This window comes from Homo sapiens, chromosome 7 (assembly GCF_000001405.40).
Source record: "Homo sapiens chromosome 7, GRCh38.p14 Primary Assembly".
Lineage (NCBI taxonomy): Eukaryota > Metazoa > Chordata > Mammalia > Primates > Hominidae > Homo > Homo sapiens.
In genome coordinates, this window is record NC_000007.14 from 138,855,642 (window position 1) to 138,875,269 (window position 19,628).

Genomic DNA, 19,628 nt, shown 5'->3' on the forward strand with positions numbered 1-19,628 from the left:
CCCAATGCATATACTTGGGTACTGAATATTCATCAATGAAACTCGAGAACATTAATTAGAGCCACTTCAATTTCATGATAGTCAATCTCAACCACCCTGAAGGCTAAGAAATAATTCCTGTGTCCCTAATCTGTGTTGTCTCATTCTCCATAATAGGTCTTTCAAATCTCTCCTCTCCCTCACACCTCCTGCCCTGCCACATTTCTTCTGTTATTCTCAATGGATGATGACTCTGCCTTCTCTGCTCTGAGGATAAAAACCATGAGATGACTGGTTCCTCAACCTTCTACCAGCCAACTACAACCTGATTTTATCTGTGCCCAATCTTGCCCTCCTCCTTCCCATTAAATTAGAAGAAGCATATCCCCTCATTTCTTTTTTTATTATTTATTTTATTTTTTTTTTTTTGAGACAGAGTCTCACTCTTCCACCCAGGCCGGACTGCAGTGGCACTATCTCAGCTCACTGCAAGCTCCGCCTCCCGGGTTCACGCCATTCTCCTGTCTCAGCCTCCCGAGTAGCTGGGACTACAGGTGCCCGCCACCACGCCCAGCGAATTTTTTTTTTTTTGTATCTTTAGTAGAGACGGGGTTTCACCATGTTAGCCAGGATGGTCTCGATCTCCTGACCTCGTGATCCACCCACATCGGCCTCCCACATATCCCCTCATTTCTAAAGAGAGCTCTTCCACTGGTAATCCAGATTCATCTCATCCCCTTTTGTGAATTGTCAGACTCTTCTTCCGCACTGGCTCAGCACCATCCGCCATTAAACACGTTGAAGGCTCGCTGATTCTTCCTCTTGAATTTATCCACTGCATTGCACTAGCTGGAGTCACCAACTCTCTCACCAAGAATACTACAACAGCTTTCTATTAGTCTCTCTGTTTCTGACAACCATTCTTCACTCTAAAATGGGACTAATCTTTCAAAAGGCTTACCTAATTATGTCTCCACCTGCTCAAGACCCTTCCATGTGCAGCCATCACCCTCAGGATGACATGTAGGCTCCATAACCATCGGCTTCTTGCTTTTCCTCTCCTGCCTCATGTCTAACCACTTTTAGTGCCCGCTCTGTTACTACTCAGCCAGAACTCACTTAACTGCTTAGAACATACTGTAATAGTTAATTTTATGTATCAACCTGACTGTGCCACAGGACACCCCAATGTCTGGTTAAACATTATTTCTGGGTGTGTCTGTGAGGGTGTTTCCAGAAGAGGGTAGCATTTGAATTGGTGGACAGTAAGGCAGCCCTCCCCAATATGGGCAGGCATCTTCCAATCTGTTGAAAGCCTGAACAGAAGAAAAAGACAGAGGAAGGCTGGATTTGGGCTTCCTCTGACTGACTGCATGAGCTGGGACATGAATCTTCTCCCATCCTTGAAGCACCTGGTTTTCAAGCTTCCAGATTCAGACTGGAAACCATCGCTCAGGCCTTCAAACTACACCACTGGCTTCTGTGGGTTTCCGGTTTGCAGAAAGCAGATCATGGGATTCTCAGCCTCCATAATTACATGAGCCGACTCCTCATAATAAGTAAATTTCTCTCCCCCTCACTCTCTCCATACAAACACATATGCATACAGACACACCCACCCACCCACATACACACACACTACTAGTTCTGCTTCTCTGGAGAACCCTGATTATTTTAAATAATAGACCCTACATATGAATGGATAAACAAATGTGGTATATTCGTAAATGGAGTGCTATTATGTGCTGCTGTTTTCTTTGGGTCTATTATAAATAAATCTGCCATGATGTACAAGTCTTTGTATGAAAATATGCTTTGTTTCTCCTGGATAAATACTTAGCAATAGAATCCTGGTTCATACGGTAGGATATATGTTTAACTTTTTAAAGAGACTGCCAAACTGTTTTTCAAAGTGGTTGTGCTATTTTACATTCCCACCAGCAGTTCATGAGACTTCCAGTTGTTTACATTCTCATCACCATAATTGTAGATTTATTTCCACATGCAGTTTTATCAGTTTTTGCTTAATGTATTTTGAAGCTCTAATACTATGCACATAAACACGTAAGACTTTATGTCTTCCAGATAAACTGAATGCTTTATTATGAAATGATCCTCTTAATCTTTAATAATACTCTTTACTATGAGATCTATTTTGGCTAATATTAACATAGCCATTCCAGCTTTCTATGATTAGTGTTAGTATGGCATATCTTCCTCCAAACTTTTCTCCATACTTTTCCTTTTCACTTACTTGTATCTTTGTATTTAATGAAGGGTTCTTGTAGGCAGCATATACTTGGATCTTGCTTTTTATCCAAACTGACAAGCTCTGCCCTTTAATAGGGGTGTTTAGACCATTCACATTTAATGTGATTATTGATAAGGCTGGATTTAAGTCAACCATCTTGGTATCTGTTTTCAGTTTTCCCCATCTGTGCTTTTGGTATCTGTTTCTAATTTTCCCCATCTGTGCTTTATTGCTTTTCATTTCCTTGTCTGCCTTCTTTTTTTTTTTGAGACAGAGTCTCACTCTTTTGCCCAGGCTGGAGTGCAGTGGTGCAATCATGGCTCACTGTAGCCTCAGCCTCCCAGGGTCAAGTGATCCTCCCACCTTAGCCTCCTAAGTAATGCCCAGCTAATTTTTATATTTTTTGTAGAGACAGAGTCTCACTGTGTTGCCCAGGTTGGTCTCAAACTCCTAGGCTCAATCAATCCTCCTGCCTCAGCCTCCCAAGGTGCTGGGATTACAGGTGTGAGCCACCACATACAGCTTGTCTACTAATTCTATCATCTGTATCATTTTCTTCCTTCTTTGCTTGTCTGTTTAGTTTGATTTGATGCAGACATTATTAATTTTACCTTATTGAATGCTGCATATTTTTGTGTTTCTATATTCTTGAGCTTTGCTTGGGTTTAGATGTTATGGTTTTGTGGTTTGTTAGGTAGAACCAGAGCAGCTTTAAGTTGGGGCTAATTTTGCCCCATTACTGAGGCAAAACTCTTCCAAATACTCTAACTGATGTTGCATGAATTATGCAGTTTCCACCAACTGTTGGAAAAGGAACCATATCCCTCTGCTCAGGCTGCCAAAACAAAATACCTTAGAAATGGTGGCCTAAAACAACAGAAACTCCAGCACTTTGGGAGGCCGAGGCAGGCAGATCACGAGGTCAGGAGATCGAGACCATCCTGGCTACATGGTGAAACCCTATCTCTACTAAAAATACAAAAAATTAGCCAGGCGAGGTGGCAGGTGCCTATAATCCCAGCTACTCGGGAGGCTGAGGCAGGAGAATGGCGTGAACCCGGGAGGTGGAGCTTGCAGTGAGCCGACATTGTGCCACTGCACTCCAGCCTGGGTGACAGAGCGAGACTCCATCTCAAAACACACACACACACACACACACACACACACACACACACACACACGAACAGAAACTGATTTTCTCATAATTTTCTCGTAGTTATGGAGGCTGGAAAGTCTTACATCAACATCTGGCAGTGTTCAGTTTCAGGTGGGGCTTTCTTCCTGGCTTGCAGACAGTTGCCTGCTCTCTGTGTCTTAACCTGGCCAGAGAGAGATCTCTGGAGTCTCTTCCTCATTTTCTAGAGGGAGCAGTTCTATTGAATCGGGACTCTACCCTTCCAGCCTCATTTACTCTTAATTACCTCCCTAAAGGCCCTTATCTCCAACACAGTCATGTTGGGGGGTTATGGCTTCAACATGTGATTTTGGGGAGGACACAGTTCAATCCATAGCAAGAGCTTATTCCCAGGCCTGTGTGAATTTTGAGGGTTGTTCCTGCTAATCTTTTTGAGGGGCTCTTTTGGGTAGTTTCTGTGTACCCATAAACTGATCAGTACTCAAACAAAGATTCTCTGCAGATGCCTAGCATCCTGCTCAGGGTATCTCTCTGCTCTCCTGCACGCTCCCTCATGAACTCCAGCTGCCTTTTCCTCCCCAGACTTCCAAACTCCATTTCTTCAACTCAGGGAGACCACAGAGCTCTGCCTGGGGTCCCACCTGCTGCACCATGACTAGAAACTCCAGATGCAACCTGGGGCAACTGGAGGACTCAGTTCACTTCTCATTGACCCCTGTCCTTTCTTACCTAAAGTCTAATGTCAAGCCACCCAGATACTCCTTCCAGTGTTTTCAGTTGTTTCAGGAAGGAAGGTAAACCCAGCCTCTGTTCCTCCATCTGAAGCCTGTCCCATACACTTTAATTTCTGTGCCTCTGCTGTACTTCCCACCACCAGGAACATCCTTCTTCAACTGACAACCACTAATTATCCTTTAGACTTCCACAGAGATGCTATTTTGTCCAGAAAAATCCATCCTGTACTGTGCACTACTCTGCCTCCAGCACCTAAGCAGAGTGCCTGCGACACAGCAGGTGCTTTGTAAATATATGTGAATGAATAAGCAAATGAGAAAACTTTAAAGTGACCCGATGGCAGCTGTTTCCACATTTATTTTACTACCAAGGTTTGTTCTGTACCATGCATTTCCTGAAATATTATAAACCACCAGTTGTAATTTTGAAGATAGTTGTTGGAACAAGCTATATTTTAAAATTAAAAACAGTAATGATTAGATTGAATGGTACTCCCACCCCACCCCACATGATAGCAGTTCCCCATACTGGAGGCTCTCGGCCTCCCATGCCCTGAAGGAGACAATCTCTTGCTGAAGGCTCTTACTTTGAAAATTCAAACCCATTTCAGAGATAAAAAAGTATTTTACCATATGTCTATTGCCACCCAATTTCATGTAACAAGGTGGACCCAGTATAAACACTCCCTAATAAATTCATATTGTGACCTATTAGCTTCTCTCCAGAGTCAAACCTTAGTCCAATCATTTCATATGAAATTAGCAGAAAATAATGGTAGCTTTACTTCCTTGAGTTTTACTTCTTCTCCATCTCTCAGGAAGGTAAATTTGAAAGGACTAAGAAAAACATAAATGATAACAAAGGCAGATGAAATGCTGAAATGTCAACCTCCAAGATGGAAAGCTGACATTTGAAAGTGGTTGTCACTGTCCACGTGGGGACTGGCTGCCTACAACCTCAGAACCTCAGGGGTCTCTCCAGTACCAGGTGACCATACAAGAAACTCAACAACTTGGATACATTCTAAACTGAAACTTTTCTGGAGACATCAACAAGAATACATTTGACGGTTACCCCACCTCCATTCCGTGACACTGTTTTGAACCCAGGAAGATGCTTCCATAAAATCCCCCTCCGTTCCTCCACAAAGCAAAAGTCCTCCTGCCTTGGCCTCCTAAATTGCGGGGATTACAGGCATGAGCCTGTAAACCCACATAAACGGATACCTCCAACATTAAGAATTAATTTAGTAGAAGATAAAAACTAAGACCCATCACCCGAGTTTTAATTCTTATCAAATGCAACCACGGTTTTGTGCGGAGCCTGAAAGTCAGGCAGTCAGGCAACAAAGCTTCAACATCTTGCCCATCAGAGAATTCTAGAAGGCCAGTACTTACACTGCAGGGATTGTTGGCCGTCTGGGCTGGGCTGTAGAAGGACCCCCACTGGGTGGCTCGCCTCTCTTCCTGGGAAGGGGTGCTGTTTGCGGGCAGGCCGGGTGGGACTCCGGGGCCTACACCTGCGGTGCTGGCAGGCTGGCTGCTGGGGGCCACGAGGGCAAAGGCGTCGTCCAGGAGGGAGTGCATGGTCTGGCGTGCCTCCTCGATGGACGGCTGGGGTGGGATGTACTGGGAGGCCGGGAAGGGAAGGGCTGGATACCTCCCCAGTTCCACCGAGGATGGTGTCTGCACATCGGCTGGGAGGTCAGGATCCGACTACAATGAGAAATGGCAAAGGAAGAATCACACATGAGTTTTTGTGGCAACCCTAAACAGTTTTCCTGACATTGAGGAAAAGTTCTATCATAAGAATTAAAAAATGACAGTTGAGGCTGTGCACAGTGGCTCACACCTTTAATTCCAGGATTTGGGGAGGCTGAGGTGGAGAAGCACTTGAGGCCAGGAGTTCGAGACCAGCCTGGGCAACAAAGTGAGACCCCCCCCATCTCTAAAAAAAAAAAAAAAGAAAAAAAAAAAGAAATTAGCCAGGTGTGGTGGTGTGCACCTGTAGTCCCAGTTACTTGGGAGGCTGAGGTGGAAGGATAGCTTGAGCCCAGGAATTTGAGCTTTCAGTAAGCTATAATCGCATCATTGTACTCCAGCCTGGATGACAGAGTGAGACCTTGTCTCAAAAAAATAAAAAAATGACAGCTGAGGAATGTGCGTTACATTTCATGCGAAGGAGAGGGGAGGCTTGAACCAGAAAAAAACTGCCAAAATTCAACAATCATTTTTTCAGCAACACTCAACTATTTACAAGGCATTTCAGTACCTGGAAGTGAACATTTCTACTGAAAGCCCCTAAACAGCCAAAAATCATATTTCAAAGTTTATGTATTGAAAAAAACTAGTAAATTTTCCCTAGCTAGAAGTCAATAAGTAAAGTAGTCTATTGACTATTAGAAAATAGTCTGACATACCCTTAAAAGATCAAAACTTTTAAAAACTATACATATTAAAACTATGCATGTGGGCTGGGTGCAGTGGCTCACACCTGTAATCCCAGCAACTTGGGAGACCAAGGCAGGAAGATCATTTCCAGAGAGGCCAGGAATTTGAGACTAACCTAGGCAACATAGCAAGACCCCCATCTTTACAAAAAATTGCTTAAAAGTTAGCTGAGGGTGGTGGTGAGCACCTGCAGTGCCAGCTACTCACAAGGCTGAGTCAGGAGAATCTCCTAAGCCCAGGAGGTCGAGGTTGCAGTGAGCTATGACTGCCCCACTGCACCCTAGCCTGGGTAACAGAGAGACCTAGACTCTTAAAAAAAAAAAAAAGAAAAAGAAAAAAAAAAAGCCTACGTATGTGTGCAAGCAATTACAATATCTATTTTATGAAAACTATTCAGAACCATTTGTCTTTAAAATGAAGGTATCTCTGGATCACAAGAGTCATTAAGGTTTAAATTGGCCAGACACAGTGGCTCACGCCTGTAATCCCAGCACTTTGGGAGGCCGAGATGGGTGGATCACCTGAGGTCAGGAGTTCGAGACCAGCGTGGCCAACATGGTGAAACCTTGTCTCTACTAAAAATATAAAAATTAGCTGGGCGTAGTGTGCACGCCTGTAATCTCAGCCACTCAGGAGGCTGAAGCAGGAGAATCGCTTGAACCCAGGAGGCAGAGGTTGCAGTGAACTGAGATTGCACTCTTGCACTCCAGCCTGGGTGACAAGAGTGAAACTCTATCTCAAAAGAAAAAGAAAAAAAAACGCAAAGGTTCAAATTGTGTTCTATACCTACTGCTTAAGAGGTAGAAATATAAGTAACAATAAAGATTTTTTAAATCTCATTTCCCAATACTGTTATGAGCAAAACACGGTCATAATATACACCAGGTAAACTGTTAAGAGACAAAACCAGGAACCAACGAAGAAGAGTCATCCTTTCTGGTCTTACAGGCTCCATGAGCCCAAACAGCATGGTGACTGCAGCAGACACAGTGAAGAGAGAAAAGGTTCTGCCCGAGGGGCTGGGGACCCCATACCCTCTGTGAGGAAGGGTGGGCGGCTTCTATCTAGAATGCTTCACTTGCCACGTGCCTGCAGTTTAGCCCAGCTAGTTGGATCACCATACTTAAAGGGGCCAACGAAGACATTCCGTTACCCATCTGGATCAGTGAGTCTATTACAAAGACAAACTACTCTACAGACACATCCTTAAACTTAGCCCCCTATCTGAAAAATGCTTCTAACGGGTGATCAGTTATTATTCCTGCCAGCGTGAAGGGCAGTAGGTTCTTAACTCCAAACTGAGAGAGGACCATACAAAACTAGTAACCCCACAGTCAACCCACGGACAGGTTTTGCTTGGCCTACACACTCTTTTAATTGATAGCCATTATTTTAAACATCTGAAAATTTCATAGTAACACTCAGATTTCTGGGTTCTCTTGGCAGAGTCTGAAGCTCTGGCATGACCAGGCCCTCACGCAACACAGAAACCACCAACTGCCGTGAAGCAGCGACTGCCCTCGTGGGATGGGGTAGGTGCTCTTCTCTCCACGGCAGTCCCCACTGGCGACCTCCCTCTCTTGCACATGACACTCTTGGGCTTATGAGTCCATTTCTCCCAACTGCAACATCCCACTGGAGGTTCTACTAAATGAGATTTGTCACTGAGGAATCCTAATTGAGAATCTGGGGCCCCAAGGTGGCCTCTAGTTGATGATGTCACCTTGGAAGGAACCTGTGCTCCTTTCCTTGTGAGGTGGATAAAGGTCCACAGTCATGCCCTTCTCCAATTCTTGATTTTCTTGAGGAGCAGATGAGGAAGCCTGGTCGGCAGTGTACCACCAACCTAGAGCTCACGGGTGGAAAGAAGGGAGGGTGTGTCTGGAAGAACAGCCCACTGGTAAAAGGGTTTCTCCAGAAACAGAAGCGATGTTCCTGGCGGTGATTCCGGTGGCTGCGTATGTGACTCTACTGCAAGGAAGCAAGTAGTGTGGTGACACAAAAAACTGCAGGCACAAACTGAGATTCCACTGTGGGAAACGATCTCAGACATTTGAGCAGAGTCCCCAGCGGCTATAACCACTGCCAATCTCATTCTCAGTGGCCAGAATTTCAGAGAAGGCTAAACTTCTATACCGAGAGAGATGATCTGCAGATGGGAAGGACAGTCCCCTTGGATTCCCAATGGCCCCCGTGAATCCTGCCAGAAGGCCAGGAGCTCCTGGGCCAGGACACTTCCTCTTCCTGTCCTTCACCTTCTTGTTTTCTCCTCATTTTGCAGGCGAGACTATCAGAACTTGCAGGCCAAGAAGAGGATTTACTCAATTTCCTATATTCTACCATCTATATTTAGACTATAGATGTTTCACACATAGATGTGTTCAGATACAGTTTATCAGTCTTCAGAAATAAATGTACATCTTTTCACTGTTTACGGATTTTGGTGCCTATTTAGCAGTCCTTTGTGGGTGTTGCAAGAGGGTGACCAGACAGCCTGGTTGTCCAGGACAACCTCAGTTTATGCCTGTTGTCCCACGGTCATTATTAATAGAACACCCCCTTACACTTCCAAAAGTGTCTGGATTGGATGACAAATTACATCAAACTTTTTCTGTAAAGGGCCAGACAGTAAAGACTTTAGGTTTTATGAGTCATATAGTCTGTCACAACCACTCAACTCTGCCTTGCAGCAAAAACAGTCATTGATATCAAGCCAACAAATGGGTGCGGTTGTGTTGCAATAAAACTCTATTTAGGCCAGGTTTGGTGGCTCATGTCTATAATCCCAGAAATGTGGGAGGCCAAGGCAGGAGGATCGCTGAGCCCAGGAGTCTGAGACCAGCCTAGGCAACAAGGTGAAAGCCCATCTCTACTAAAAATACAAAAATTAGCCAGGCAAGGTGGCATGTGCCTGTAATCCCAGCTACTTGGGAGGCTTAGGTGGGAGGATCACCTGAGCTTGGGGAGGTTGAAGCTGCAGTGAGCCGTGATTGCACCACTGCACTCCAGCCTGGGCAACAGAGCTGGAGTGTCTCAAAAAAAAAAAGTTACTTACAAGAACAAGCAGCTGGCTGGATTTCTACCAAGGCCTGAATTATAATGGTCACCCTTATTACAAGGAACCAAGGAATATTTCTCTTGGCCTTAGGAGAACACACCGCTCAAGGAGAAGATATTTTTGAGGGGAAAGTGGAAAATTCAAGGTAATTCAAAAACACATAGTACTTCCCTAGTATAGGCTTGAAGATGAAAAAAAAAAACCCTGTACATGTACCACTGATTCTAAAATACAAGTTGAGGGAAAAAAAGATAAACTACCTAAGAAAAGATGAGTTCTGAGACAGGCATTATCTTTTAAAGTGTTTCAGAATTCAAAATCTGAGGAAGATTTTTATTTTGGGGCAATCTTTTAAAAAAGGAGCCACTGAAGGCAAGCAGCCTCTGGGGTGGTGTCTTCCAGGAAGAGGCTGCTCTGCACCCACAGGAGGAGGAATCCCTGCACTCTCTGCTAAGGAAAAAAGGAAGAAAACGATGCTGCAAAGCTACCGCAAAAGAAGGCTGATCTAGAGTCACTGAAGCAGGCAAATGAAGACAGCCAGGAGAAGACAGGTTCCTCCCCATACAAAACTCAATCATTTAAAAAAATCAAAGAGAGGGGGACTGAGAGGGTTCCCCACAAATTCCTTTGAGAGAGGAGCCCAGGTTGGCTGGAGAAGTGAAGGGACAAGAAGGGATGCTGCCCCTTCTATCTGTTTCACACCACAGCAAGTCTCCACTTGGCACAGTTTACAAAAGCTCCGGGTGACAACCCTGGGGAGCCCTCCCCAGATCAAGCCAAACCCCACAGATGCCCAAATACCCCCAGAACCCAACACAGCACAAGAGCACCACCTACTGTAAGAGCAGCCATGCACCACATTTAGAAAGTAACAGGAACTACTCAATTCCTCGTACTGAGGAAGACAGTAGTTTCATTTACAGACAGCCTAACTCTGAAATCGCACTGATCCCCATGAGTAGATCAAGAAGGTCGGTCTTTAAGACCCTAGAAATACCGTAAGTTCCTAAGGAAAAGTCTCATTCTTTCAGATGATCATAATTCAGTTGTATTTAGGCCCCATCCCAGTATAATGTTTGCACATTTGTGTAATTATATTTAGCCTATTTAAGTGCTTGTTATTTATATAATTTAGGAGAAAAATACAAACCTCAACTAAGAAATGGCTGGTTGCATAAGGTCTATCTAAAGCGATCACATCCATCGCAAATCCCTTCTCAAAGGCTGTGCTTTTTGCTAACGTGTCTCTAAACCAGGCTGGCTCTGTGAGTGCCTCCAGGAGGTGAAAGGGGCCTGCTGCAGCAAGGCAGGGCTCTCCTGGTATGGAGTTTAGGACGCCCTGTGTTTCCCAGTGCTGCCGGAGTTAGCGGCACCTGGCTCGCCCTCTCTGTCTTCGGGTATCTTTGTGTCTGTATTTCTCATGGGTTAAGTGAGGCTGGTTCTCTCTCCCCTACTCAATGCAGTCTGTGTGTATGCATCTTACGCTATCAATAACTGCCTTTAACACTTCAAGCAAATCTGTCTGGACCTCTTTTACTTTGGAAAAAAATAATCCCTTATTTATTTATTTAGAGACAGGGTTTTGCTCTGTCACCCAGGCTGGAGTGCAGTGGTGCGATCAAAGCTCACTGCAGCCTCGACCTCCTGGGCTGAAGCGATTCTCCCACCTCAGCCTCCCAAGTAGCTGGGATTACAGGCATGCACCACCACGCCTGGCTAATTTCTGTATTTTTTGGAGAGACGGGGTTTCGCTATATTGCCCAGGCTGGTCTCCAACACCTGGGCTCAAGCGATCCATCCACCTCAGCCTCCCAAAGTGCTGGCATTACAGGTCTGAGCCACCACTCATTATTTCTTAATTTCCATTAACCTCTTTCTCCCATAAAAGCAAAATATATATAAGCAAATACGCTATCTTCTTAGCACTCCAAGGACAGTACAGGGAAATAAAACCCTAAATATCCCTCCTCTCATTAGGAAACCCAGCCAGGCTAGCTCAGTCAGTAGAGTATGAGACTCTTGATCACAGGGTCATGCCCTCATACCTGTAATCCTAGCACTGTGGGAGGCCAAGGCGGGAGGATCACTTGAGGTCAGGAGTTTGAGACCAGCCTGGGCAACATGCTGAGACCCCATCTCTACAAAAATTTTTAAAATTAGCTGGGCATGGTGGCATATGCCTATGGTCCTAGCTACTCAGCAGACTGAGGTGGGAAAATTACTTGAGCCCAGGAGGCTGAGGCTACAGTGAGCCTGGATCACACCACTGCACTCCAGCCTGGGCAACAGAGTAAGACCCTGTCCCAAAAAAAAAAAATAATAAAAATAAACAACAAAACCAAATAACCCTCTGACTAGGGAGAAGGAAAAAAACCTTGAGGATATTTCTCTCTCTCTCTGTTTTCCAGTTAACCTCGAAAAAAGTCCCACTGTGAAGTCTGAGAGAACGGGGCTTACGTATAGAGAGGAAAAACACGGAGTGTGTTTCCAGAGGTGGCACTCGGCAGCACCCTGGCTGACAGCACTCAAGTCTCCCCTCAGAAGGGGTGGCACCCCACCCCACCCACTTCATGACCTAGAGGGCCCTGGTGCATCAGCCATCAGGCATCAGGCACTGATACCACACAGGGCGGCAGCCAGTGCTGCTGCTTCTCCTCCCCTTTCAGCGCATCTTTCTAGGAGCCGCCCCACCCGAGTTCCAGAAACTGGAGTCGGTGGCACGCACTGGGCATCCGATGTAGGCTGAGTTGTGGACGCCGGGGGGCCTCCTGTAGGTGCCATCGCTGTCTGTGGTGATGAGCCGGTCCTTCTCAGCGTCGGCAGGACAGCCGTTGACCTGGTGTTTCCGGCGAGGCTTGGGAGAACGTTTTATCCGTGAGCTGCCAGGAAAAAGAGAAATTATCTTCGTAGGAAATCACCCTTTTTGCCACTGACTTACCAACTAAACACTAAGTACCCTGAGTACCTAGGATGTGCTACCCCTGGAAACACCCCATAGGATATAAACGCCATGTACGAGACAGTCTCTGCTCTAAGGAAGCTCAGAGCATACCTAAACAGACCTATTAACCCACATGAAGCAACACAGAATGATATAAAGCCATTTGTAATCATGACATTCAGAAAAGAAGTCAGTGGGAGCTATTAGTCCCATGGGGCTAGAACTAGGTCTTTTTTATTTTATTATTCTTTTTTTGAGATGTAGTCTCATACCGTCGCCCAGGGTGGAGTGCAATGGCGTGATCTCGGCTCACTGCAACCTCCACTTCCCAGGTTGAAACAATTCTCCTGCCTCAGCCTCCTGAGTAGCTGGGATTACAGGCGCCTGCCACCACGCCCAATTAATTTTTGTATCTTTAGTAGAGACGGGGTTTCACCATATTGGCCAGGCTGGTGTTGAACTTCTAACTCCTGACCTCGTGATCCGCCTGCCTTGGCCTCCCAAAGTGCTGGAATTATAGGCGTGAGCCACCACGCCTGGCCCAGAACTAGGTCTTGAAGAGTGAATGGGACCTGAAGCCAGGGAGGATGTGGGAAGCAGGTGCCAGGGGCAGAAACGGCAGGCAGGTGAATGTTCAGGGGCTACCAGGCCGTCTCCTGGGTGGCAGTTCTGTCCGTGTGGCTGACCCGTGAAAAAGAGCTGGAGTGGAGGGGCAGGGCCGGCCTGCGACGGGAGCACAGGACCCACCTGGCAGGCAATAAGAGCCACCTCAGGTTTTGAGTAGAGAAAGACATACATGAGAGCCGTGTTTAAGGAAAACGCATCTATGTCGGGGACGGGAGTCTGGGAGACCAGGGGAAGGTAAGACCCCAGACCCTGCAGGCAGCTGTGAGAAAACCAACGAAGATCTGCTGGGTGCCAGCCTGGGTGGCTCCGGGAGATGAAAATATTGGAGGTGACAGAGTGGGAGGTGAGGAAGAGCCAAGGACACCACAGAAGGAGCCAGTGTGGGAAGGAAAGGGTGAGTGCAGTTTTAGACAGGCTGAATTGGAAGAGACAGATTAAGCCCCAGGAAATGCCCCGAGGCAGGCAGAGGGGCAGAGTTGAGAACAAAGCCAACGCCTCCCACACTAAGGTGACCCTCAGCCAGGGTAAGCCTTCCGAGTGGCCTCCACATCCTTCTGTGCATGAGCCCCTTCAACTGTCTTCAGAGACCTCCACGTGAACACGGATGGGGTCCTTCTGTCACAGGCCCTGCAGTAGCAGAGGGGCTCCTGTCCTGCTCCTGTGCCCCCCGCAGCACCTCTGCGCGCCCGCCCCACCGCCTAGCGCAGAGCCCCAGCCCACCTCTTCCTGGGCTCTATGAACACGGAGGGCACGCTGGCCGTGGGGTCCAGGATCTTGTCGATCTGCATCTGTGCCCTGCGGTACACCCGGTGTCGCTCCTTAGTGTCGCCCGAGGACAGGTCGTCTACCACCGGGAACTCGTAGTGCCCGCGGCGCTTGGCGCGCAGGCGGATCTTGTTGCGATGGTGCTCGATCTCAGACTTGTGCCGCAGCGCGGTCTGAATCTGAGGAAGGGTGAGGGAGAGAAAGACAGCCATAGAGGTCCCGGGAAGCTTCTGGGACACACACTTCGCAAAGTCTTTATTTATTTTTATGTTTATTTATTTATTTGAGACAGAGTCTCACTCTGTTGCCCAGGCTGGAGTGCAATGGCATGATCTCAGCTCGCTGCAACCTCCACTTCCCGGGTTCAAGTGATTCTCCTGTCTCAGCCTGCCGAGTAGCTGGGATTACAGACACGCACCATCATGCCCAGTTCATTTTTTGTACTTTTAGTAGAGATGGGGTTTCTCTATGTTGGCCAGGCTGGTCTCGAACTCCTGACCTGAAATGATACGCCCACATCAAGCTCCCAAAGTGCTGGGATTACAGGTGTGAGCCACCATGCCCAGCCAGCAAAGCCTTCTAGGAGCGCCTTCCTGCTATGCTCCTCTCCTCTGGCCCACACTTAACTTGCTGTCTGTAAGCTCCACGGAGTCACCGAGAGAGCGACAGGCACAGACCAGGGAGGAGCAGAGACCCTGCCATCCCACGAGCTTTACCCTCAAGCACTGTGTGGTGCACTGGAGTCTTGTCACCATCCCCCAAAGCAGGGAAAAAAAGTCACTCGAACCTTGGAAATCGGCCAATGACAACTTTAAAGAGACATCTGATAACCAGAAAAGAATATTTTCCTCCTTTAGAGATCTTTAATAAATAGGACTGACAGATATAAAGAGGATAATTACCTAGTGTCACCAAAACAAGTTACCTGACATGAGACCCCCTGCCCCCAGAGTGGTATCCCCAAAGACGGAAACCTGAACTGCGTTGAAGCGTGAGGAGGATCAGAAGCTGAAGTGGCTCTTTCTGAGGAGGGCAGCCCCTGGTCGGCCGCACTAACACTTTTCTGCATGTCTGCCAATGCGCCCCAGAGTGTCCATGCACAGTATCTGATCTCCAACAAGCGTGATGTTTTACATTAAGAATCCTTGTCAGCAGCTTATGCCTTCAGTAACTAGTTGACACTGTACCTTGCACTCATTTTCAAACACAGACCCAATAAGTGTGTGAGTTTTTTTTGTTTTTGTTTTTGTTTTGAGATGGAGTCTCACTCTGTCAACCAGGCTGGAGTGCAGTGGCGAGATCCCGGCTCAGTGCAAACTCCCCCTCCCGGGTTCAAGTGATTCTCCTGCCTCAGCCTCCTGAGCAGCTGGGATTACAGGAACCCGCCACCACGCCCAGCTAATTTTGTATTTTTAGTAGAGATGGCGTTTCACCATGTTGGCCAGGCTGGTCTCAAACTCCCGACCTCAGGCGATCTGCCTGCCTTGGCCCCCCCAAGTGCTGGGATTACAGGCATAAGCCACCGGGCTTAGCCGAGTTTTTTAAGTAACAGACTTTTAAATAAAAGCAAATACCTCTTTGTTGATTTTATTGCTTTCCGCCACTCGGTCGGCTGGGGAGGGGCGCTGGACGGGAGGTGCCGGGATCGGCTGCATGGCGATAAGCTGGATCTTACTGGGGACCCGCCGGCTAGCCTCCGGGGGGCGGGAGATCCTGTCCACGTGCTCGAAGATGGAGGCTGATGAGTGCTGCTCATTTCCCGAACTGGGCAGTGGTGGCCCTGGAACAGAAGGAAAAGCAAAACACATACACGAAGTCATCTAAAGAAACAGCAACTAATCAAAATTGTGAATTATTCTTTAAAGAATCTTTGGATGGGCCTCTGACCAAAAATACATCCCCACTGCAGTAGCAGAGTGTTTACAATTTCACTCTCTGAGCTTAAATAGTCTGGGCTATATACTGTATCCTCTAACTTCATTAAAAATTACAAGTACCCTAAGAAGAGACGTGAGGAAATCATTATGATACTGTGTGAAAAACTGCACTGTTTTGTCTGTGGTTCAAAATCTTCATTCAGAAAGAATATAGGACAGAAGGAGCCTGAAGTTGCTCAGTAGTCAATAAGCCATTCACAGAACTCTCAGAAAACACATTTATAGCGGCTCTGAACTATTGCTACCATCTGGCAGGGAGCTCGCTGGAGTGATACAAATTCAGCTGCCAAGGCAATGTCGTACTACAGAGAAAACAGAAGACCAGTACGTGCAGGCAGGTACCAGTTAACAGTGACCACACTTCTGACTTTTCAGTTCTGATGTGGAAAGAAAACGAAGTTGAAGACACATGAGAAGAAAAAACCTGTTGCTTGCAGGGAATTAGTTCCTACTTTATTTATTTTTTTAATTTATTTTTTATTTTTTTGAGACGGAGTCTCACTCTCTCGCCTAGGCTGGATAGTGATTCTCCTGCCTCAGCCTCCTGAGTAGCTGGAATTACAGGAGCATGCCACCATGCCTAGCTAACTTTTGTATTAATACTTTTAGTAGAGACAAGGTTTCACGATATTGTCCAAGTTGGTCTTGAACTCCTGACCTCAAGTGATCCACCTGCCTCGGCCTCCCAAAGTGCTGGGATTACAGGCAGGAGCCACCGGGCCCGGCGCTAGTTCCTACTTTAAAAACAGTTGAAGAGTACATGTATAAATGGTTACATGGCAAATTTTAGGCCATGTATATTCAACCACAATAATTTTCTTAAAAACTAATCAGAACTGTGAAAAAAAAAAAAAAGAAATTCAAATGCACAAAAAAAAAGACAGAAAAGAAACACTTAAAAATATTAACAGAGACTGAATCTTCACATGATGGGTGATTTTTCCCCATGTCTTTTATTTTTGATAATGAGGATTTTCTGTAATAAGTATTATTTTTACAGTAGAGATAATCCCAATACACTTTAATTTTGAAAAAAGAGAAAGAGAAAAATGAAGACGGGCTGAGTAGAAAGAGCTAGTTACTCACACTTAAGAAGATCAACTGGCCAGGCACAATGGCTCATGCCTGTCATCCCAGCACTTTGAGAGGCTGAGGCAAGAGGATTGCTTGAGCCCAGGAGTTTGAGACCAGCCTGGGCAACATAGTTAAGACCTTGTCTCTACAATTTTTTTTAATTAGTTGGGCGTGGTGGCACATGCCTGTAGTCCTAGTCACTCAGAAGGCTGAGGTGGGAGGATCCCTTAAGCCCAGGAGGTAGAGGGTGCAGTGAGCCGAGATCATGTCTCTACATTCCAGCCTGGGTGACAGAGTGAGACCCTGTCCCCCAACCCCCGCCAAAAAAAGATCAACTGATGCCCTTCTTCTAATCAGCCAGTCACTTCTGGATGTTGCTTTCAAATAAATGGCCAGCAGGCTGACAGAGGGAATACGCACATGCAGAAAGTGCTTCTAAACAAAAGCCTAACATTTGAAACTTCAAAGCATAAGTGAAAAACACAAAGGTCTCTCCTCGGTGTAAAAAACATAGATGAGCAAAGCAGTAAGAAGCAGTAGTTGATGTTTCATATAAGGAAAGCACAGCATTGCTATGTAAATCTGTATTTTCTCTCAATTTGAATTACATTCATTATCCCAAGCAATCAGAAGTCATTTGGCTGATTCTGAATGAATGATGTCTGTCTGAGCCAGAGGACACCATTGTCTGGACTCCAGCTATGCTCAAGCTTTCTTTCTTGGCCCCATACCTAGAAGGAACCTGACTATTTGTGCATTTGTGCAATGGAAGCACAGCCAGGCACCACCATTCATCGGTGGCAGCTACTCAAGTTGCAGGCATAATGCCTAAAAGGAGATCATGAGCTTCTCCAGACAGGCTAGCCCTGCTTAACCCAGACTTATAGAGTAACAATAAATGTCACAGAGGGTAGCCCATTAAGCTACTGATACCTAGAAGTGGGATCACTTTCCTCCAGGGTGGCAGAGACTTCTGGGTTGCTGGGAGACAAAGGTGACAGGCATTAAAAAAAAAAAAAAAAAAAGGCCCCTCCCTACTGGGCTGTCAGCCCTGCCTGGGTACCACTGGAGCAGCAGCCTAAGACTGGGCTCCTGTCCAGAGCCCGGCTCACCCCCTCCCACTGTAGTCACGGCCCTTGCTTCACCCTCGCTGAACTGTTCACAGACTGCAACCAGAGGAGGGGATGCACAAACCCTGGGCCACTCTACAGAGCTGAGGGACCAAGCGGAGGAGAGGAAATAAGAGGTGCAGAAAATCTTCCAGCTTCCATACTGCCCAGAAGCCAGTCCTTCAACATGGCTGAAAAGAGGGGCTTTAAATTTTTTTACATATACATATAATATATATCACACATATATATTATATAATTATATCACACATATTATATATTAGTATATATTTTTGTTTATAGAACTGTATATGTAATATATAATTAGTAATTAGTAATATATTACTATTAGTAATTATATATTACATACTTCTATATCATATATTAATAAATATAATTATATAATATATATTATTGTTTGCTATGCATTGCACAATTTTTCTAAAAAAGCTCCCTGGGTAATAATGATTAGTACAAAGCACAATGGACACACAGAGATTAATGCTGTGTGAATCCTGCCTTAAGGCTAGTAGGAACTTGGGATTAAAACCCCTTTCTCTTCAATTATTTTTTAAAAGTAATGATATAAATTTTACTATAGAGTCAAGATACCTATTGTACCTCATGGTAACTATAATCAATAACAATATATTGTATACTTGAAAACAGGTAAGAGAGTAGATTTTAAGTGTTATCACAAAAAATAAGTATGTGAGGTAATGTATATGTTAAATAGCTTGATTTAGCCATTTCACAATGCATACACATATCAAAACATCATCATTTAGCCACAAGAAAGAAGGAAATCCTGCCATTTGCAGCAATATGGCTGAGCTTGGATGACATTAAGTAAAATAGGCCAGGCACAGAAGGATAAACACTGCACTGTTCTCACTCATATGTGGAAGCTGGAAAGTTGATCTAGAAGTGGAGAGTAGACTAGAGGTTACTTGAGGCTGGGAAGGGAAGAGGAGGGACATAGACAAAAGCTGGTTAACAGATACAAAAGCACAACTAGAGGCTGGACATGGTGGCTCTCGCCTGTAATCCCAGCACTTTGATAGGCTGAGGCGGGAGGGTAACTTGAGCCCAGGAGTTCTAGACCAGCCTAGGCAACATGGCGTAACCCCATCTCTACAAAAAATAACCCGGCGTGGTGGTGTACACCTGTAGGCCCAGCTACTCGGGAGGCTGAGAAGAGATGATCACCTGTGCCTGGAAGGTCAAGGCTGCAGTGAGCCATGACTGCACCACTGCACCCCAGCCTGGGCAACAGAGTGAGACCGTGTCTCAAAAAAATAAAAATAAAAGTGCACAGCTAGAGAGGAGGAATGGGTTGAGCACCTGTAGGCACTGTAGGGTAACTCTAATAATTTATTGCATATTTTCAATTAGCTTGAAGAGCATATTTTGAATGTTCCCAAGGCAAAGTAATGATAACTTTGTCTGTGGTGACAGATATGCTAATTACCCTGATTTGATCATCACACAGTATATTCATACATGGAAATATCACAATGTCCCCCATAAATATTTGCAAGTATTATGTATCAACTAAAAATAATAA

At 45.7% G+C, this 19,628-nt stretch overlaps 1 protein-coding gene across 2 annotated transcripts in view; it reads right to left on the bottom strand.

Moving 5' to 3' along the window:
• The window catches only part of KIAA1549, a 150,009-nt gene that overhangs the window by 24,261 nt on the left and 106,120 nt on the right, over positions 1 to 19,628 (bottom strand). For both annotated transcript variants that reach the window (NM_020910.3, NM_001164665.2), the window contains exons 13-16: positions 15,516 to 15,721; positions 13,897 to 14,120; positions 12,334 to 12,487; positions 5,498 to 5,815 (exon numbers count right to left, since the gene is read on the bottom strand). In NM_020910.3, the coding sequence (NP_065961.2) occupies positions 5,498 to 5,815; positions 12,334 to 12,487; positions 13,897 to 14,120; positions 15,516 to 15,721 (902 nt within the window). The remainder of the gene's footprint in view (positions 1 to 5,497; positions 5,816 to 12,333; positions 12,488 to 13,896; positions 14,121 to 15,515; positions 15,722 to 19,628) is intronic.